This window comes from Homo sapiens, chromosome 1 (assembly GCF_000001405.40).
Source record: "Homo sapiens chromosome 1, GRCh38.p14 Primary Assembly".
Taxonomy (NCBI): domain Eukaryota; kingdom Metazoa; phylum Chordata; class Mammalia; order Primates; family Hominidae; genus Homo; species Homo sapiens.
The window spans coordinates 39,882,438-39,902,823 of NC_000001.11; the positions used below are offsets into that span (position 1 = coordinate 39,882,438).

Here is a 20,386-nt window from a genome sequence, read left to right on the forward strand (position 1 = left end):
CTCCTCAACAAATAGCTGCTGTAGTTCCTCCATCAGAGATTTACCCAAAATGTCACCCACTACCCACTCTTAATGGAGCAAAATGCTCCCAGATGTGATGTACACCCCTTCTGGGCCTCCCAGTTCGAAGAAGAGGACAAAGCCCCTTCAACTTTAAATCAGCCATTATGATTTAAAACCTCTACTTAAAAAAGCATTTACCACAAGTCTGGCCTTATTCCGGACAGGGCACTCTGTTCTTCGTTCTAACGCTCATGATCCCATTTATTAAGCACTATAACCTTGTGCGGTAGGTGACATTTTCCTCACTTCACAGATATATAAAATAACGTCCAAATAAACGACATTGTTGATCCGAAGTCACATGGCCAATGGCAGATTCAGGACTAGAATCCAGGTCTCCTGACTGTCAACCCTATTCCACTCCCCCAGCAGACACCATAGGTGGTATCCAATTTATCCTGATCTCGCTGGGTTAGGGTTAGAGTTACAACAAAAGCTCTGGAATAATTTTTATTCAAAAGATATTTACTGGATACCTATCTGTCGACCTTGTAGGTTCAAATACCATGTCTTCCACTTATTCGCTATGTGACATGGAAAAAATCGTTTCACCTCCCTAAGCCCCAATTCCTTTCTCCATAAAAGGAGATAATAGTATCTACCAAATAGTAACGTCGTGAGAAGTTGATGAGACGATGATAAGGGAAACATCTGGCACTGTGTCTGGCATGCGGCGGGTGCTTAGTAAGTATGGGCTCCCTTTACCTACCCCCTCCGCCCCTACAAGCCTCGGGGTTCACCCTTTAAGACCTTTGCCACAGGGTGTCCACGCGGCCTCCGGGGTCCCCAGGCGCCCGGGCCAGCCGCACTGCCATACCTGCATGGAGTCAGCGCTGACGATCTCACCGCCGAGCCGCTGGCCTAGCTGCAACGCCAGCGTGGATTTGCCGGTGCCCGTGGCCCCGAGAATCACTACAAGAGGTAGGGTCCGTTGCAGGCCCCTGAGCCCACTGCCCACGGGAACTGCTCGTGCAGCCGCCACGGACGCCATCTTATGGCAGTCTGCGCTTGCGCCGGAGCAGCTGTCCCCATGGCAACCGTCTATGCGCCTGCGCGGATCTCAGGCTTTGTAGCGAGGTTGCTTAGGGAGGAGGGAGCGGCAGGACCCAGGCGACGTGACTGCAGTCAACTAACTGGTGTCAGAACCTCAACTACCCGCCGTCTTTTTTTTTTTTTCTTCTTATTTGGAGACGGGGTCTCCCTCTGTCGCCCGGGCTGGAGTGCAGTGGCGCGATCTTGGCTCACTGCAACCTCCGCCTTCTGGGTTCAAGAGATTCTCCTGCCTCAGCCTCCCGAGTAGCTGGGACTACAGGCGCCCACCACCATGCCCGGCTAATTTTTTGTATTTTAGTAGACACGAGGTTTCACCATGTTGCCCAGGGTGGTCTCGAACTCCTGAGCTCAGGCAGTCCACCCGCCTCGGCCTCCCAAAGTGCTGGGATTACAGGCATGCGCCACTGCGCCAGACCACCTGCCGTCTTAAATGGTAGATGGCAACCCTATCTAAATAGATCCGTCCCTATTATTCTTTCACAGCACTCAAGTTATTTTTCTTTACAGTACTTATTACAATATAAAATTATAAATAGGTCTCTTGTTTTTTTGTCTGACTTATTGGGACAAATTCTGCCTAGATCATTGCTGTATCTCCAGTGTCTAGCACAGTACCTGGTACCCAAGAGACACCCAATACTTGTTCAATGAAGAGGAGAATGACCTGCCGGTCTAGTGCCCGGGGCAGTAAGCTCAGAGGTGTGGCATTCTCCAGAATGAGGTCTGCCCAGTTCTCAGGCCAGGGCAGCTGCTCTAATATTTTCATCCCATAGTACGACCTCATACTCAATCACAAAGCAAACCTTTGGCCCGGCACAGTGGCTCACGCTTGTAATCCCAGCATATTGGGAGGCCAAGGCTGGTGGATCACCTGAGGTTAGGTGTTCAAGACCAGCCTGACTAACATGGTAAAACCCCGTCTCTACTAAAAATACAAAAATTAGCCGGGCGTGGTGGCGCATTCCTTTAATCCCAGCTACTTGGGAGGCTGAGGCATGGGAACCGGGGAAACGGAGGTTGCAGTGAGCCGAGATCGCGCCATTGCACTCCAAACCTGGGCAACAAGAGCGGAACTCCGTCCCAAACAAAACAAAACAAAACAAAAAAACAGAAGGCAAACCTTTTCATCTCCTTGGCCAAAGAATGCAACATGTGGAGTGAGAACAGAGAAAAACAAGCAAGTAAACTACAATCCGCAAAATAGGAAAGGGAAAAGGAACGCAGGTAGAAAGGATTAAAGTTGGCCGGGAGCCGTGGCTCACGCCTGTAAACCCAGCAATTTGAGAGGCTGAGGCGGGTGGATCACCTGAGGTCAGGAGTTCGAGACCAGCCTGACCAACATGGTGAAAACCCGTCTTTACTAAAAATATAAAATTAACTGGGCATGGTGGTGCACACCTGTAATCCCAGCTACTTGGGAGGCTAAGACAGGAGAATCACTTGAACCGGGAGGCGTAAGTTGCGGTGAGCCAAGATCATGCCATTGCACTCCAGCCTGGGCAACAAGAGCTAAATTCCTTCTTAAATAAATAAATAGCCAGGCGCGGTGGCTCACACCTGTAATCCCAGCACTTTGGAAGGCCAAGGCATGTGGATCACAAGGTCAGGAGTTCAAGACCAGCCTGGCCAACATGGTGAAACCCCGTCTCTACTAAAAATACAAAAATTAGCCACGCGTGGTGATGGCATATGCCTGTAATCCCAGCTACGTGGGAGGCAGGGGAATCACTTGAAGCCGGAAGCCGGAGGTTGCAGTAAGTCGAGATCAGCCACTGCACTCCAGCCTGGGCGACAGAGCAAGACTCAGTCTCAAAAAAAAAAAAAAAAGAAAAAAGAAAGAAAGGATTAAAGTTGTAGCAACCCTGAGGTTAAAATGGAGGTGGAAAAAATTAGGACCAGAGAGGACCAAAATTCCAGAGACCACACCATTTTAAGAAAGGCCTTTGGAGTCATATAGAGCTGGGTTCAAATCCCAGCTCTGCCATTTATCAGCTCTGTGAACTTCATTAACTTCACCTCTTTTTTTTTTTTTTTTGAGACAGGATCTTGCTCTGTTGCCCAGGCTGCAGCGCAGTGGTGCAATCAATCACAGCTCACTGCAGCCTTGGCCTCCTGAGCTCAAACAATCCTCCCACTCAGCACCCGATCACCCCACCCCAGCTGGGACTGCAGACCCATACCACCACGCCTACTATTTTTTTTTTCTTTTTGAGAGATGAGGTCTTGCTATGTTGCCCAGGCTGGTGACCGACTCCTGGGCTCAAGTGATCCTCCTGCCTGGGCCTCCTAAACTGCTGGGATTACAGAAGTGAGCCAGCACTTCTGGCCTAACTTTACCTCTTAACCTCGGTGTTCTTATCTTTAAATTCCTCTAAAGATTGCCATGAGGAGAAAATGAAGTAATATCTGAAGAGTGCCTGCTACAATGCCCTGGCACATAACACCCACTATTTGTTGAACACTTTGTGTTATTATAATGGTAACACCCCATCTGCCTCTCTAAAGAGGTAAAAGCAGCAGCCTAAGGGCAGAGAAATTTTCAGTAATGTGTAAAGGTGCCTAAATACCTATTCTACTAACCCCTTGTTAGCCAATTTAAGAGTTCTAGGCCAGGCGCAGTGGCTCACGCCTGTAATCCCAGCACTTTGGGAGGCCAAGGCGGGTGGATCACAAGGTCAGGAGATCGAGACCATCCTGGCTAACAAGGTGAAACCCCGTCTCTACTAAAAAAATACAAAAAACTAGCCAGGCTTGGTGGCGTGCACCTATAGTCCCAACTACTCGTGAGGCTGAGGCAGGAGAATGGCGTGAACCCGGGAGGCGCAGCTTGCAGTGAGCTGAGATCGCGCAACTGCACTCCAGCCTGGGCGACAGAGCGAGACTCTGTCTCAAAAAAAAAAAAAAAAAGAGTTATAATTGCTTTTTCACTGAGATTGGCTCTAACTCTCAGGTCATATCACCAGGATCCCCTGGGCCAAAGGAGTGACCCCTGCAAGTTTCAAGCATTTGACAGGCCTGCTGGAATGACTGCTAATACATTTATCAGTCACTTGAATCCCCATTGGCATAATGACCACTCTTGCAGATCCAGCCTAAACCTTGTTGCCACGTACATTGTTTGGAGAATACCAGTTCCCAGTTCTGGGTCCCCTGTCCCTCCTTTTCTCAATCCAGCCTGCTTTGATCAAAAGCCCTGTTCTCTCCAATTTGTAGTACCCGCCTGGGGCTGGGTTTAAAATGGAGATGCATGGCCACATATTGGCAGACACTCTCACATGATGGTTGTTAACTGTAGAACCTTTGCCTGGAGACTTTCAGAGGGTACAGTTACCATGACAACCACCAGAAAGATGGCAGGCCAGAGAAATGATGCAATTAAAGGAAAAGGGAGGCTGATTTCATGATGACAATCTGACCATGACAGAGTATGCTCACTCACAGATGGGATAGCACTGTCTAAGTCATGAACCAGGTGACTATTACCAGAAAGAGAAAAAAAGATGGGGGTGGAATTTACCACCAAGAGACCAGAAGATGAAGAGACTCGTTACCAAGGCAACTAGGGAGAAAGGAATGGAAAAATGGAGCTTCACCATAGCAGCAGAAAATTGCTTCTAGCCAAGCAACACAGGACTGTTGCTATAGAAACAAAGAGAACAGGGATCCTACAGACCATGGGGAGAATTATCACCAAAATGCTGAGCAGGAAAGACTCCTAAATCAGAATGGAGCCTGTGGTCCAAAACAAATGAGGAGAAGTGAAAAAAAAAAAAAAGGACCATTTCCATTCATCGTAATTCTATTAGTCCTACCAAAAGAGAATGGGAACATATTTTTTAAAATACCTTAGGCTATTTTATTTGTAGCTTTGTTTGTCTCCCTAGCGATCTTCTGAACTCTAAATTATACTAAAAATAGGTCCTGAAAGATATTCTGTAACTTGAAATCCTAATTGGAGACATTAAGTTCAAGGGAAAATTGGGGAATTGAAGTCTATGACCAAGAGATAATAAGTATTTCTTTAAAAAACTACATAAAACCCTCTAATGGGAAGCTTTTCAGGGTAAAAAAGAGATAAAAGAAGGCAATAGGGAGTCAGGGAAGCTAGTTGTACTCATGCCTAGGTATTGGCTCTGACTCCCCTTTCTGTGAGGCCAGAGGGGAAGGAGCTCATTGTGTTCTGGAAGGGAGGCTCAGAAAGAAAGAGAGTCTCTCACTTAAAATGTATGTATATGTCTAGAGGTGATAGATGCAGAATCCCATCTCCAACGTGCTCCACGCATTACAGATTATTATGGGCAAAGAAATCCTGGTTTTAAAGGCAAATGTATCAGGATAAGTTCAGTCTGGAAGAGCATATCTAAAATGTAGAAATGAGGTACCAGGGATACTCAAATTACTTGGAGAATAATAATTCCTTGCCTGCCCTACTGAAAGCCCACAGTCAGTCATTTAATTCTCATCCCCACTGTGTGTAAGTCATACCCCAAGGGCAGATATATAGTTAGGATTTCTGCACCTACCTCACCTTCTTTAGGAAATTGAAAGCAATACATAGGGTGGGATGGGCACAGAAAGATGGCAGAAAAGGAGAACGTAGGAGGTGCAAAAAGATAGGGAGGAAAATCTCAGTGATGACCCATGAGTGTTTATTCAGTAGTATTTCCTATCCTCTGTATACTTTAAATAACTCATTCAAAATCTCTTTTAAAAAGAAAGAAATTTGGCCGGGTGCGGTGGCTTACGCCTGTAATCCCAGCATTTTGGGAGGCCGAGGCCGGCGGATCACCTGAGGTCAGGAGTCCGAGACCAGCCTCAACATGGAGAAACCCCGTCTCTACTAAAAATACAAAATTAGCCGGGCGTGGTGGTGCATGCCTGTAATCCCAGCTACTCGGGAGGCTGAGGCAGGAGAATTGCTTGAACCTGGAAGGCGGAGGTTGCGGTGAGCTGAGATTGCACCATTGCACTCCAGCCTGGGCAACAAGAGCGAAACTCCATCTCAAAAAATAAAAGAAAGAAATTTACAGGGAGAAGGCAAAAGATGAAGCCATTACAGTAAAAGGGCCATTTAAAGCAGATCATCCAAAAGGTTCCAGATGGAATTTTAGAGTATGTGGTGACATTTAGGACAGAAAAAGGAACATGCTATGGGAGGCCTGAAGCATCTAACTCCAAGGTAAGGAAGAAAGTTGGGTCAAAGACCAACACTAGCTTTTTAAAAAATTGATTTATACAAGTTTATAATAGAGATGAAGTTTTGCCATGTTGGCCAGGCTGGTCTTGAACTCCTGGCCTCAACTAATCTGCCCACCTCACACTCACAAAGAGCTAGGATTACAGGTGTGAGCCACAGCACCCGGACAACACTAGCTTTTTGGTACAACCTAAGATGCCTTTGCAGCCCAATCTTCACACTAATTAGCTACCCCAAGTAAAAAATATTTTCTGTGGGAGATATTTTATGATGAACGTTATTCCTATATTAGATTCCTAGGCTTGTCATAAATTACTACAAACTGGGTGGCTTAAAACAAGGGAAATTGGCAGGGCATGGTGGCTCACCCCTGTAATTCCAGCACTTTGGGAGGCCGAGGCAGGAGGCCAGGAATTCAATACCAGCCTGACCAACATGGCGAAACTCCATCTCTACTAAAAATACAAAAATTAGCCGGGCGTGGTGGAGCACTCCTATAGCCCCATCTACTTGGGCAGGGGCAGGGATTAGGCACGAGAATCGCTTGAACTGGGAAGGGAGAGGTTGCAGTGAGCAGAGATTGCACTACTGTACTCCAGCCTGGGCAACAGGCTGTTTAAAAAAAAAAAAAAAATCTCAAAAACAAACAAACAAACAAAATAAAGGGAAATTTATTTTCTTGTGGTTCTGGAGGCTAGAAGTCTGAAATCAAAGTGTCCACAGGGCCATGCCCCCATGCTTCCCTTTAGGGAAGAATCCCTTCTTTCCTCCTCTAGCTTCTGGTGGTTGCCAGCAATCTTTCATTGTTCCTTAGGATTACAGGCTTGCACCACCACACCCGGCTAATTTTTGTATTTTTAGTAGAGATGGGTTTTCACCATGGTGGCCAGGCTGGTCTCGAACTCCTGACCTCGTGATCCACCCGCCTGGGCCTCCCAAAGTGCTGGGATTACAGGCATGAGCCACTGCGCCCGGTTTCATTTTTTTTTTTTTTAAGAGACAGAGTCTCACTATGTTGCCCAGGCTGGTCTCAAATGCCTGGCCCCAAGTGATCCTCCAGCCTCAGCCTCCCAGTGTCAAGATAACGGCTTTTTAGGGCTGGGCATGGTAGCTAATGCCTGTAATTCCAGCACTTTGGGAGGCTGAGGTGGGTGGATCACCTGAGGTCAGGAGTTCCAGACCAGCCTGGCCAACATGGTAAAACCCCATCTCTACTAAAAACACAAAAATTAGCTGGCCATGGTGGTTGGCGTCTGTAATCCCAGCTACTTGGGAGGCTGAGGCAGGAGAATCACTTGAACCTGGGAGGCGGAGGTTGCAGTGAGCCGAGATTGTGCCACTGCACTCCAGCCTGGGTGACAGAGCAAGACTCTGTCTCAAAAAAAAAATAAAAAATAAAAATAAATAAATAAATAATAACAGCTTTTTAATTTATTTATTTTTCTTTTGCAGAGACAGGGTCTTACTATGTTGCCCAACCTGATCTTGAACTCCTGGCCTCAAGTGATCCTTCTGCCTCAGCCTCCCAAAGTGCTGGGATTATAGGCATGAACCACTTTACCCTGCCATCTTTATATCCTGATGAGTCTCAAGCCTGTATCTTCCATTCAAATCCCTTTCTAAAGCCTCAGTATCACATTTTCAACTTGCTGGGTACTTCATTTTGGATGACCCCATCACTTTAATTTCATCATGTCCCAAACCACAATCAGTTTCTTCCCCTGACTTCCCTATTTCAAAGAGGATGTTTGCTCTTGAAAGGATCCCCTTAGAAATCTAGTGCAATCCTCCTTATTTTGTAAAAATGAGACTACCCAGCCAGCAAATCAGACCAGATTTCTCCCCTGTCCCCAGATTTGACACAACCTTCTTAACTGCTCTTCCCCAAAGCTATTCTCTTAGCCTAGAACATCCTTCTTTTCATTTAGCCAAATACTACCTGTACTTCTAGTTCTGGTTAATGTTACAATTTCCAACAAAAACTTTCATGATGACTCCAAACAAAATGTTCTCTTCCCCTTCTGAGGTTCATAGCACTTCTTTGAGACACATATTGCCTTAGTTTGTGATCATGTGTGTTATCTTTTTGTTATTATTATATTACTTCAGACCAGAATATTTTCTGATTGTGTTTCTATGCTCATAAACTTCCAGAAGGAAGGAACCATACCTTCATGTATCATTGCAAACATATTGCTGTCACTATGTAGCTGGCACTGTTCTAAGAACTTTACATGTAACAACTCCTTTAATCTTCACAACAGTCCTGTGACATAGATATCATTATTATCTCCATTTTACAGAAGAAGGATACTTGTAGGACTCAGAGAGGTTGAGTGATTTGCCCAACATCACACAGGTAGTAACCCCAACTCCTTGTTTTTTGTTGTTGTTGTTGTTGTTTTAGAGATAGGGTCTCACTCTGTCACTCAGGCTGGAGTGAAATGGCACAATTATAGCTCACTGCAGACTCCTCAAACTCCTGGGCTCAAGTGATCCTCCCATCTCAGCATCAGCTTCCGGAGTAGCTGGGACTGACTACCGGCACAGGCCCGCTTGCCAGCATTTTTTTTTTTTTTTAATTTCTTAGTAGAAATGGGATTTTGCTATGTTGCCCAGGCTGGTCTCAAGCTCCTGAACTCATGTGATCCTCCCACCTCTGCCTCCCAAAGTGCTGGGATTACAGTCATAAGCCACTGTGCCTGGCCCCAAGTTCTTAACCATGGCATCTACACCACCTTCTGTGAATACTTTTTGTCTTTGCAAAACCTGGGCTCCAACCCCTTATATCAATATTTTTTTAAGTGTGCCCTCAGGAATTCACCTCCCTCCTTGCTTGTTAGCAATGCAGATTCCTGGCCCTGACCTACGGTAGGCAAATTCTTTTTTTTTTTGAGACGGAGTCTCGCTCTCTCTCCCAGTCTGGAGTGCAGTGGCGCGATCTCGGCTCACTGCAAGCTCCGCCTCCCGGGTTCACGCCATTCTCCTGCCTCAGCCTCCCGAAGAGCTAGGATTACAGGCACACGCCATCATGCCTGGCTAATTTTTGTTTTTAGTAGAGACGGGGTTTCACCATGTTGGTCAGGCTGCTCTCGAACTCCTGACCTCGTGATCCGCCCGCCTCAGCCTCCCAAAGTGCTGGGATTGTAGGCATGAGCCACCGCGCCTGGCCGGGTGGGTAGATTCTTAAGACACACTCAAGTTTGAGAGTCACTGTCTTAATAATATAGGCATTAATGACTAAATGGAGTCAGTTGACTGTGGCTCAGTTTAAAGGCACCACAGTGCCCAGTAAGGAAAAGTAGAGGGTTTGTATGTGCAATGGCTTTGCTGATGCACAACCTCTGCTGGCCATGGGCTGTGAATGCTGTGAACCAGTCTGAGGCTCCAGTCTTTGCCCTCCCTCCTCCGCTGCCTATTTCAAGCTCCCCAAACCTGGCTATTTCTTTCCTAATAATTTACCACCTCTTGAAGCATCAATATGTGCACTCTGGGAAGATTTATTATTTTACCAATTCCTTCTATCATCTTTCAGATATGACTAATCTATATTCTGGTTGTGGCTTGTTAACATGGTTTAAATAATACTAATCATTTACTGAGCACTTACTATTGCCCTGACGACCCAAAGAAGTGCATGCTATTATTTCTACCTATTTTATAGATAAGAAAACTAGGGTTAGGAAAGGTTAATAATTTGCCCAAGGTCAAGAAAATGCTAGAAAATGCAGGGCCAAGATTTGGAACTGAGACTGTTGGGTGTGGGTGACCACTTAACCATACTGCTTCCCACAAGTTTAAAAGAAATCCATTATTTACTGGGCACCTACTGGACCCTTGGCACTGAGCCTAATCATTTAATAACACACCTGATTAGAGACTTTCTTTTTTAAATATTTACATTTGCTTGCCAAGAGAATGGTAACATTAATACAGTTGCTCCCTTTGGCCAGGAGTGTAAATAAACAGACATTAACAAGAGCCGCCCACTGGGCTTACAGTAGAAATGCCCACACACCAACCAACAGAACTCTAGCTGACACATTTAGACACCTCCTCTTTCCTCCTTCCCAGTCACCCGGTCATCAATCATCTCCCAGCTGGTTATCTTATCCTTAAAAAGAAACCTCTCTCACACTCCCTCCTATCACTTATCACAGATCAGCAAAGCCATCCCCATCCTCTTTTTCCCCTTTTAAAGTTAATATTCTGGAATATCCTGACCTCGGGAGCACTGTAGACAAATTCAGCACGTCTAAGATAGTTCAACCTGTCTCAGTTCCCCAAAATAACTGCCAACAGAGGCAGAAGTTAAACATACACTTTAGCCTTTTATTGTCTAACAGAGATGATGTCCTTCTCTCTTTGCTACACCAAGTGTGGCTTCTGGGTCACCCCGTATTGTCTATGTCCTGAGTTGGGAGTGTGATCCCTTAGGTGCATTATTCAGAGGCAAACCTAATTTGTAGAAATTGTCCTCTGAAATCCAGGAATAAACTCCTGACTATTTTCAGACAAAGATAGAGGTAGGAGTCTGTAGAAAAGAGCTAGGAAGGAGCTTAAAATACTTCGCATTCCAGAAACACCCTCCCTTCCCCCAGGAGATGGCTTTATTCCCACTCCTTTCTCAGCAGAGTTGACTCAAAAGAGCTGAAGCTTGGAGTCAGGCAGCTGGTACTAGGTGTGTGGGCTTAGGCAAACAACTTAAATGTCTCTGAGCTTCAGTTGGCTTTTCTGTGAAATGGGGCTGACAGCATCCTGCTCTCCAAGTTATTGTAAGAATTAAGATATGCAAAACTACTAACATTCATGCCTGTACCCATGGGTCCATACTATTGTACTAAGTGCTTTCAAAAATTTTTATTGAATTCTTTCAAGGTCCAGTAAAGGGAGATACGTCCTACAAACCAGACCCTTGACTAATGGCCTCAAAAAAGGAAGAAAAATACACTGGGAGTTTTAAGAAAAGAGTTCCAATAATCCATGTCAGTTTTACCAAACAGTTTCTTAGGTTCTAAGTGTGTTACCTATGTGCAGTGGGGGACAAGTGGAAAAAGCTTACCTGATAGGAGACTGGGCTTGGAATCCTGATTTTGCTATGACTTTGAGCAAGAAAACTCTCTGGGCTCCAGTACCATCAGGCAGATATTGCTTACTTACCAGGTTGGAGGGTCACAAGAGGGTCATTTTGTAAATGTGAGGAATTAAGAGGAGCTTTTTGACCGTACTGAGGCTCCATAGGAATTCGGGTGGGCAATACCAACCCAAGTCCCATCTGTAAGGAGGAGTTAGTGGAGGCTTCTTTCACCATGATGCTCATGGCCATCCTGAACAGCAACTGATTGCTTTTCAGTCCCAGATGGGGCCCCTTTGCAGCAAGACTATGCCACCCAGCACACATATGCCTCAGAGTTGCTGGTCATGGGACATTTGCTCCATTTCATCCCAATAAGTGGCAGGCACAATAGCCCCAAAGAGAGTTACAACAAGCAGTTAAATGACGGAATTCCACGTTTACCTTCTCCACATACCCCGTGCTAACAAACAAGCTGATCATCATAATATAGTGACTAAGACCTCTTGCTCTGGAGATAGGCAGAGCTGGTTTCAAATCACAACTGAATTACAAGCTTGTGAATTTGCATAGCTTTGTTTACTCTTAGAACCTCAGTTTCTTCATCTGTAGCCCTGACACATGGTTGATATGGCAGAGTGTTCAGACATAAGCAGTGCCCTATGAGGAACAGCTATTACTGAATTCCCCTGTCTTGCATTTACAGCAAGTTTATGAGAACTATGGGAGGAAAATGAAGCTTAAACTTTCTTTCATTAATTAAGGAGGAAGAATGTTTTTTTTGAGACAGGGTCTGGCTCTGTTGCCCAGGCTGGAGTGCAGTGGCGCAATCTTGGCTCACTGCAACCTCTGCCTCCCAGGCTCAAGCCATCCTCCCACCTCAGCCTCCCGAGTAGTTGGGACTACAGGCGTGTACCACCATGCCTGGCTAATTTTTGTATTTTTTGTAGACATGGGTTTTTGCCATGTTGCCCAGGCTGGTCTTGAACTCCTGAGCTCAAGCAGTCTGCCTGCCTCAGCCTCGCAAAGTGCTGGGATTACAGGCATAAGCCACTGCACCCAGCCAGGAGAAAGAATTTTAAAACTATCTTTCTGTAAGAAAAAAGTACATTGCAACATAAATTCTCAGAAAAAAACTTTAAAAGACATCTTGCAGAAGGTCATCATACCACTAAGATAAGAATAACACCATCCTAAAGAGTATAAGGCTTTATAGTTTAGAAAGCAGTTTTAAGTCTACCCCTTCATTTAATACCTGCAAAAACCCAGTGAAGTAGCATTTATCCCCATTTTACCGATAAGGAAACTAGGACTCAGAAAGATGAAACTAAAGGCTGCAGAAGTGGTGGAGCCAGGATTTCAAGCCTTCTAAAGTACAAATTCAGCACTCTTTGCAATTCACAAGAGAATTCCGTGTTCACTGAGTACTGAGCCTACATTGTTTCAACATGTCTGAAATGGCATTTCAGGAACCCAGAGTGGAATGACCAGGTTAGCAACATGGTTAGAGAAGTGCAGCCCTCTGGATCACTTGTGGCTACCCTGAAATAGTTTTCCGTGGTTGAGGAGGACTCAGGTGGCATAAGCTGCCCCCACTCTGACATGTTTGAGAAATCTTTTATTAGAAGATGTCCCAGAAGGCAACATTTTAAAATCAGGCAATCAGTAATCACAACTAAATACAAAATTTCAGGTGAACTTGCCTTTCAAAATAAATCAGACCCTTGCAACAGGAAATTGCCCCAAGAGTTTTTTTCCTTGTACAAAAACAGTTAACACCACTTTGCAAAAGGCATACAAAAATACAATATAAAAAAAAAAGACTCCCCCAGCATAATAGCCAACAGCAGCTTATAAAACACAAGCTATTCAGTTGAGACATCAGTAACCTACACCCAAACTGTCCTCCATAGACAATTCCAGAAGTCAGCTGGCTTTTGTAAACCATGCTCCAGAAGGGTAGAGAGGCTATTTCCAAACATCCCCTGGGGTCCTCTGAGGCCAAGAAGCAACCTCAGAAAGAAACCATTATGGACAATAGATTTGGAAGTAGCAGCTGGTTTTCCAGAGCCATATATAGTACTTACCACCCCCTACCCACCCCAACTTCCAAACCCAGAGCCAGCAGGCACCTGCTGTCCTGGGCAGAGTTCTGGAGGGGCTGCTGGTCCTTCTTCCAGGACAGGCTTAGAGGTGCCTGAGGTTACCCACATGACAACTGCTAGGTTGGGTGACTTTCCCAGACTAGAAGCTGCACGTGGATTCCACTTGGAGCTGCCGAGTCCAGCTGGGGTAAAATCCATCATGGTTGGCTAAGCATATCTCCTGGAGGCTCCTTTAAAACCCACCAGAAGCAAGTCCACCTTCTGGAGCACTGGATGAGTCCCAACAGCTCTCCCCAAAACTTCAGAAACGCCCAGATTCTGGGAAAGATATCTGATTCATGGCAGGCTGGAAGGGGCCCAAGGGTGGCTGCAGAGCCAGCAAGCTCCTTGGAATTGCATGAGGAGGACAGATTTGCATGGTTCCAGAAGAACTTCAAACTTGCCGCTCAAGGATTGAGATGAGGCAGGTGGGAAAGAGGCAGCAGTACAGTTCTCCCTCTGAGGTGTCTTACACCTGCCTTGAGAAAAGACTGGGCCTCAAGTGCCCCTCGGAAAACACCTGGGCAGGGATCAAGTTCATGGGCCAGGACTCCAAGCTATCCCCAGGCCCCAGGCTAGGACCGATTTCCCTGTGTCTTGGGGAAATATTTCTGACCTGTGGGAAAGGGTGCTGTAGAGCCCATTGCATAACAAGGCATAATGGAACAAAAAAGTCCCTTGTGAGGAAAGAAAGGTCCCTCCCTCAGAGGAGAGAGCCCAGAGGGCTCTGAGACAAAGAATCTAGAGGCCAAGCTTTTTAAGTGTTCCCAGGGTCGCAGCATTGGGAGTGGGAGGAAGGGGGTCAGCTAACATCATAATATATAAAGGTTTCCAACTCCTTGGCTACTGTAAAGTGTCTGACAGTGAGGTAATGGTCAATGTTGATCAAGTCTGCAAGCTTGTCTTCACCCAAGACAGCTCGTGTGTCTTCTGGAAAAAGGAGCCTCAGGGAGAGCATCCAGGCCCAGCTGTCCTTGCATCACCCCAGAGACACCAGTTGGGAGCATCCTTTCCTAGCCTAAAGCTCATGCAGAGTGTGAGATTTCATGCAGGCTGGAGCCCCTGACAACATCCACCACCTGTTGCATAGCATCTGTCAGCCTTTTCTTCAGAGCTAGTGAGCTAGGCAGACCCCAAGGCTCCTCAGTCAGCTGCCTGCTGGGAAGCCAAAGGCGCCAGAGAACATACAGCACTCCCATGAGTCAGGGAAGAGGGAGAGCTGGGTTTCAAGGTTTCCAAGAATGCAAGCCTTTATTGTGTGTGCACCGGCTGCAATGCATTCTGGGATCTACTGTCCAGACTGTCCCACCATAACCAAAATGTGCAAATTACTAAAGGGGAGAGGGAGGTTAAAAAATAAACTTGTGTCTTCGTAAGACAGAACTGTCAGGCTTTTTGGTCAGTTAGTAGCCAGTGAGGTATGCAATTCTTTTCTGCAACTGCTGCTGCCGGCATCGGAGCTGTCTTTTCTCTGTAGCCATCCTCTTCTCAGCCCCCACCAGGGCTTGCAAGTATTCCAAGGCCTTGCTTAGGATCACTACTTTGGGGGCCTTGGAGCAGCTGGCCAGGGTGGGCACCTGGTCCCTCAGCGCCAAGAATCGCGAACGCAGGTCATTCCGCCTCTTGCGCTCCAGGAAGTTGTGATTCTTCCTCTTGGTCACATCCTCAGTATCAGAACTGACAGGTTTGGGGTGGCAGGACTGGGCAGCCTCACTTTCTACAGGTGGGGGACTCACAATCTCTTCATCCTCCTCATCTTCCTTTTCCCCTGCAGCATCTCTCTCCAGAACCTCTTCTTGGGGACCCCTCTCTGAAGCCTCTTCTTGGGAGCAGCTTTCTGGAGGAAAACGGGCAGCATAGTTGTGCTGTTGCTGATGGATGGAGATGTGGAAATGCTTCATGCAGGGATCCAGGGGGTCTGCTCGCACCGTGATGGTGACCGGCTTCCGAATACCCAGAGACTGCCTCTTCTCTACTGTCACAACATCAATTTCTTCATTCTCTGTCCGAGAAAAGAGATCAAGAGAAGAAACACATCCCATGAGAAACACAAACATAGACCCTACAGCTTTAGCTGTCTACGCTGGTGCTTGGGAAGGTAGGAGACATTTTTCCAATTTAGATATATACAAATCGAGGTGAGCAGAAAGCTGATTCATTTGTAATGTGGTAAGGGCACAGTGAAGGAAAGGAGGGGACATTAGCAAGAAGGAAAATATTCTCCAATTTCCTTTTGCACAGCAAGGCTTAGATAAGAACAAAAGGCAGACCCAAGCCAACAGCCCCCAGTCTGCAAAGGCTCTCCCCTCCCCCACGGAGGGGTTGGAGAGAAAGAGCTACCGGCCTGGGACAAAGTTTAGCTATAAAGATCTTCCCCAGTCGGGCTCTTTCATGCCCCATCAGAATTGTAAATGAGGGGTCTGTGGGCAGAGCTGCCCTTTGTTCCTGCCCAGCACAGCCTGCACTTGGGGAATTGTTACTTTTCACAAGTTATAAATCCTATTATTCCCCCACCTCTCTATTCTGCCATCCCTTTCAGCTGAAGATTCAGAGAAGGGAGGGCTACAACCCATCCCTCTTCACCCACAGAGGGGAGGGAAAGGGTTTCCCTTAGGAGCATTTTGCTCCTGGGTTCAATGGGTTTCTAAAGTCATCCATCATTTATAGGTCGCCTGCCCCACCTCCTTCCCTGGACTAGAAGGTTAGATTTGTAATCATAGGTCGGCGAAGCTGCAGGAACTTCACAAAGGTACAAGCGACCATTTCCAAACTACCTGCACCAGAGGCAGAGACTGGGCAGCAGAATGTCCCAGATATGGGGCTCATAACACCAGAGACCTGGAGACACCTGGACACGCCCTTCTCATTCACTGGCTTGAAGGTCTCTTAGGTTAACCTAACCAGGAGAGGGGCAATTGGGAGAAAAGTCTCCTCCTGCTCCACACATTTTGCAGCCTCCACACAGAAGTCCACCTTAATGGATCTCGGCCTCGCAAAGGAAGAGCTCCGTTCTCAGCTTCTTTGCATATCAGGAAGCTTGAGCCCCTTTGTCAGGAAGGCTTCCATTGTGTGGACAATCGCATTATTTCTCCATTAATAAACCTGACCATTCAGCCCTCCTGGCCCCAAAGCCCATGATTGGCTGATTACGCTGTGTTTGGACTTCTGTCTTACCCAGCCCCTAGCCCCTATTGGGTGAGCTCTGCTGCCAATCACTTTCCCCACCCCCCGCCTCATTGTTTGCAATCTGTTGCATTTTGTTCCAGGCCATGTGGCCTGTGAGTGAACTAGAAGCTCACAAACAGGTTCAGGTTAAAGGGTAGGTTAGAAAATGATTCAGCAGGCTTCCCTACATCCCAAACCTTTAATTTTCAGTGTTAAGCCTCGTGGCTCAGGAAGATTCTATCTAAGAAAGAAATAATTTAAGACACCATTCTCCCTTTCAGAGAGTAGTGTCTTACTCTATCCAGACAAGGAAATGTCATCAGCAGGACAATCAAGTCCAACCCCATCGTGTGCAAATGGGGAAACTGAGGCCCAGATCAGCGAAGTCCACATATCACCTTTGTAACGTTCTGGATCTCAAACTAAAATGTCCAACTTCCAAAGCAATGCTCTTTCCACTCTACCACTCCACCAGCCGTTGTAGAGATACATCTTTATTGGTTTTTTGATCTCAAGATTCTCTTTCCAGCCATTAAACAAACATAAACTCTTGGTGTAGAAAGCAAGCTGGTTAAAAATGACCTTAACACAGTGGACCAGGAAAAAAAAGACTTTTAATTTTTGTTATCCTATTTTTTCTCTCAAGTGTAGGAAAACTTCCATACCCCATTCCCCAGTTCCCTATCAAATGGTCGTGTAAAAGTTATTCCTAAAAGCTACAGTGAGCTTTCTTGGTCCTAATTTATTTGTCACTAGCCACAGTCTACACTCTACAAAAATACCCTCTCCAGGATTTCTCACGGGTGTGGAGGTCTAAGATGCCAGAATAAGAACAATGTAGTTTAGTGGCACAGGATGCCCCAGTCTGCCCTCAGCGAGGTTGCACTTGCATCAAGGATGGGAGAGGAGGGCCTGGAGTTCTACTGCCTTGACCCCAGCATGTAGCCCACAGATTGCCACAAAGTAGGGGCCAGTGAATATTTGTTGAATGCCAGGGAGCAGCTGACGCTGGAGATCTATTGAGGGGGAGCAAGAAGGACACTTTTCCATCTCAGGACAAACAGCAAGGCAAGGTGTAGTGCTTCTAAGATAAGCTACCACAAAGACCCCAAACATCAAGGAAGAGGTGCCTGGTTGGGATGGAGCATTGGGGAAGAGGGGCTGGCTAGATGGCAGAAAGCTGGAGCTGACTTGTAGTGATTGTCTATCTCTAAGCCTCAGTTTTTCCATCTGTTAATGGGGAGTGTTCATTCTTCCCTCCCTGTCTCAGGGATGCACGAGTGGTAAGTGGTGGTGGGGAGGCACGAGAAGAGGGCATTTATTATTGGCATTTTAAAGTAAAGCCAACTGGAGACCTAGGTTTTTAAAAGGACGAAGGTTTTGGCTTTGCACAAAAGGCTCTCGGCTTCTTCTCCCCCTAGGGGAGTGTGAGTTTCCTAGGGAAAGAGGCAGCAGCAAAAAAACTTCAGGTTTGGAGTGTCTCTTAAGGTACCCCCTTCAATCCCTTACAGTCCAACCCCAGTATTGTCCTCTCTAAGCGCCAACCCTCACCTCAAATCCCTTGTCCCCTGGGGCTCCAATAATCATCAAAGGGAGGCTGGCTCCCACGCCACTTTTCCAAACTGTTTACCAACACACCCACGTGCCAGACAGACACGGTTGGGGACTACACGGGCAGCTTCAGCCAAAGAGAGGCGGAGATGGCCCAAGAGCTTGAGAAGAGCCAATGCCTGACCTCAGGCAGGGGCAGAGCTTTGGCCACCCATGGGGTGGCCCCCTCTTGGATGGCTCGGGGAGGTCCTTACCCGAGTCGCTTGGGCTCTCGGACCCGGAGCAGGCCTGGGTCTTGGGTTCGCCCAGCGGACAGGGGGCGGCGGGCGCCGGGTTGCCGGCTTCGAGGCTGGGAGTGCAGTCCGGGGCGGCGGACGCCTTGGGCGGGTTCCCCCGGGGCGCGCCAGGAGCGAGCCGGTCGCTCACAGCTCTCTCCAGCCGTTCCCGGGCCGAGAAGCCGCTCCACATGCAGTCACGGCGTATGATGGAGGCGTAGTTCCTGCCCCAGCCTTTCGAGTGGCCCCGGGATTCCGCTTCGTCTCCGGTGCACCCTCCGGGCCACGGCTCCGGGGGACCAATCCCGGGGGCCGGGTCCCCTGCGCCGGGACCCAAGCCCCAGGGCGGCGACGTGGGGGGCGATGGCACCAGCTCGAATTTCTTCCAGATGTCCTCGCTGGGCGCCGTGGAGCGGTAGAAATCCTCCCCGCAGTCATAGTCGTAGAAATAGTGCTGGTACGAGTCGTAGTCCATGTCCGCTCCCTGCGGGAGGGAAGGGGGGACGTGCTGACCGGGTGCCGGCCGGGCGAAGGAGGTGTCCCCGGGTCCCTCGGCACAGTCGGCTGCCGGGCTCTCGTTCCTCCCCAACCCCACCAGCTTGCAGCCTGCGCCCAGTCCTCGCGTCCCGGGAAGCCGGGCCCCGGGTCAGAGTGGTAGGGGAAGCCAATCGCAGCGCGCGGACCCGACTGTGGGCAGCGAGTTCAAAGCAAACTTTGCCAGCGCCGCCCGGAGCGCAGCTCCCAGGGCCCGGCGGGGCCGGGCGGGGGCGCGCCGTGCCCAGAAGGCAGCCTGCAGCCAGCCCGCACCGCGGGACCCGCGCCCGTGCCCTGGCCACCCGCAGCCTCACCTCGCTCCAGCCGCCCGCCACCTGGAGCGGACCGGCTCCCCGCCGGCTCGGGGCAGCCCGGCAGCCAGCACACACGCACATGCGCGCCGCCGAGAGCGCGGCCCGCACTCACAAGCGCGCCCCCCCCGCGCGCGCGCCCTCCCTCGCTCGCGCACGGCGGCCCGGACGCTCTCGGGATCGGCGCGGGAGCGCGAGCTGCAGGCGCATTGTTTCCTGACTGCCTTATATCTCGTCGCGCGCCCGGGACCCAGGGACTGGGGGGCGGGCCCTATGGGACAAACCCCGCCCTCTCCCTGCCTACTACGGGCAGTCGACAGGTGGGGCCGGCCCCACCTCCTGGCAGCGCTCGCCCGCTCCGTTCAATCCCCGGTAGCCCCCCAAATAAATTGCACGCTGGGGAGCGCAAACAGGAGGAGGGCTGATGCGGCCCGGCGGCCGCTTGGCGGTGCCAGCCGGCTGAGCTAAACCGTGCTCCTTGCCCACTCCGAGCTGGGGAATTAGGGCTACTCCCCGCCCCACCCTGCGCGCCTACTTTCCCCGGCGCACCCCGCTGGGTTCAGGTGCGCCCGAGCCGCCGCGAGGGGTAGGGGGAGGGAAACGCGCCACCTGGCGGCCCTCAGCCCTGAACTTGGGCTGGTCCCGGCGTCCGTCTGGTCACCCGTCGGCCCGTTTCTTGAGCTCAGTGGCCCAAGCCTGGATGGCATCGAAGCGAAGATTCCGGGATTTAGAGCCCGAAACGTAACCTTCCTGAGCTTCAGTTTCATCTGTAAAATGAAGGGATGGTAATGCTTACCTCACAGGGTTGTTGTGAGGCTTCAGGGAAATAAGAGCATCTAGGGAAGGGGTCTGGTCTAGGTGGAGAGGCAGACGGCGCTGGCTTAGCCCCCGCTTTGGGGAGGCGGTGCAGAAATGAGGAATTTTTCCCAGGGCAAAGCCAGCTGAGACCCGCCATGCTCCCTCTCATCTCACACAAAACACTGTAGGAGCTGTACAGTAGAGAATGAGGATTTGGCATC

General features: G+C 48.7%; 2 protein-coding genes and 1 long non-coding RNA gene across 22 annotated transcripts in view, besides 8 other annotated features; 1 reads left to right on the forward strand and 2 right to left on the reverse strand.

Moving 5' to 3' along the window:
- TRIT1 (tRNA isopentenyltransferase 1) overlaps window positions 1–1,074 on the reverse strand; it is a 45,402-nt gene extending 44,328 nt beyond the window's left edge. For 16 of the 17 annotated variants that reach the window (NR_132414.1, NR_132413.1, NR_132412.1 and 13 more), the window contains exon 1: window positions 881–1,074. Coding sequence is in view for 3 of the 17 variants with exons in the window: in NM_001312692.1 (NP_001299621.1) it covers window positions 881–1,054 (174 nt within the window). In the remaining 14 variants the exon portion in view is untranslated. The remainder of the gene's footprint in view (window positions 1–880) is intronic. The other variant, NM_017646.6, reaches the window with a different exon arrangement.
- Window positions 299–1,119: an enhancer, noted in NCBI's record as "H3K27ac-H3K4me1 hESC enhancer chr1:40348408-40349228 (GRCh37/hg19 assembly coordinates)". NCBI's record gives its function as "activates a minimal SCP1, AML or CMV promoter by ChIP-STARR-seq in primed H9 embryonic stem cells {active_cell/tissue: H9 hESC(primed)}" and the evidence as "EXISTENCE:reporter gene assay evidence [ECO:0000049][PMID:30033119]".
- MYCL-AS1 (MYCL antisense RNA 1) lies at window positions 713–16,661 on the forward strand. Of its 2 annotated transcripts, none has more exons than NR_183424.1 (3): window positions 713–984; window positions 15,306–15,629; window positions 16,199–16,661. It is a non-coding gene; the product is annotated as an MYCL antisense RNA 1 (long non-coding RNA). The 2 variants fall into 2 exon arrangements; NR_183425.1 differs by having other exon boundaries at window positions 713–747.
- Window positions 1,120–1,938: an enhancer, noted in NCBI's record as "H3K27ac-H3K4me1 hESC enhancer chr1:40349229-40350047 (GRCh37/hg19 assembly coordinates)". NCBI's record gives its function as "activates a minimal SCP1, AML or CMV promoter by ChIP-STARR-seq in primed H9 embryonic stem cells {active_cell/tissue: H9 hESC(primed)}" and the evidence as "EXISTENCE:reporter gene assay evidence [ECO:0000049][PMID:30033119]".
- Window positions 5,767–5,965: a silencer, noted in NCBI's record as "fragment chr1:40353876-40354074 (GRCh37/hg19 assembly coordinates)". NCBI's record gives its function as "represses an EF-1alpha promoter that drives an FKBP-Casp9 reporter gene in an ReSE screen in K562 erythroleukemia cells {active_cell/tissue: K562}" and the evidence as "EXISTENCE:reporter gene assay evidence [ECO:0000049][PMID:32094911]".
- On the reverse strand, window positions 12,991–19,480 carry MYCL (MYCL proto-oncogene, bHLH transcription factor). 3 transcript variants are annotated; one of them, NM_001033082.3, is made up of 3 exons: window positions 19,371–19,480; window positions 18,502–19,006; window positions 12,991–15,533 (listed from the first exon to the last, which is right to left on the reverse strand). In NM_001033082.3, the coding sequence occupies exons 1-3, from the start codon at window positions 19,449–19,451 to the stop codon at window positions 14,935–14,937; spliced, it is 1,185 nt and encodes a 394-aa protein (NP_001028254.2). In that variant the 5' UTR covers window positions 19,452–19,480; the 3' UTR covers window positions 12,991–14,934. The 3 variants fall into 3 exon arrangements, with proteins under 3 accessions (NP_001028254.2, NP_001028253.1, NP_005367.2); NM_001033081.3 differs by having other exon boundaries at window positions 18,502–19,480; NM_005376.5 differs by lacking the exon at window positions 12,991–15,533 and having other exon boundaries at window positions 17,175–19,006.
- Window positions 15,762–16,333: an enhancer, noted in NCBI's record as "NANOG-H3K27ac hESC enhancer chr1:40363871-40364442 (GRCh37/hg19 assembly coordinates)". NCBI's record gives its function as "activates a minimal SCP1, AML or CMV promoter by ChIP-STARR-seq in naive H9 embryonic stem cells {active_cell/tissue: H9 hESC(naive)}" and the evidence as "EXISTENCE:reporter gene assay evidence [ECO:0000049][PMID:30033119]".
- Window positions 16,580–16,874: an enhancer, noted in NCBI's record as "tiled region #6057; HepG2 Activating DNase unmatched - State 4:PromP, and K562 Activating DNase unmatched - State 5:Enh". NCBI's record gives its function as "activates a minimal TATA promoter and a strong SV40 promoter by Sharpr-MPRA in HepG2 and K562 cells {active_cell/tissue: HepG2 | K562}" and the evidence as "EXISTENCE:reporter gene assay evidence [ECO:0000049][PMID:27701403]".
- Window positions 18,734–18,853: a silencer, noted in NCBI's record as "silent region_714". NCBI's record gives its function as "represses an Ori minimal core promoter by ATAC-STARR-seq in GM12878 lymphoblastoid cells {active_cell/tissue: GM12878}" and the evidence as "EXISTENCE:reporter gene assay evidence [ECO:0000049][PMID:35858748]".
- Window positions 19,264–19,583: a silencer, noted in NCBI's record as "silent region_715". NCBI's record gives its function as "represses an Ori minimal core promoter by ATAC-STARR-seq in GM12878 lymphoblastoid cells {active_cell/tissue: GM12878}" and the evidence as "EXISTENCE:reporter gene assay evidence [ECO:0000049][PMID:35858748]".
- Window positions 19,844–20,053: a silencer, noted in NCBI's record as "silent region_716". NCBI's record gives its function as "represses an Ori minimal core promoter by ATAC-STARR-seq in GM12878 lymphoblastoid cells {active_cell/tissue: GM12878}" and the evidence as "EXISTENCE:reporter gene assay evidence [ECO:0000049][PMID:35858748]".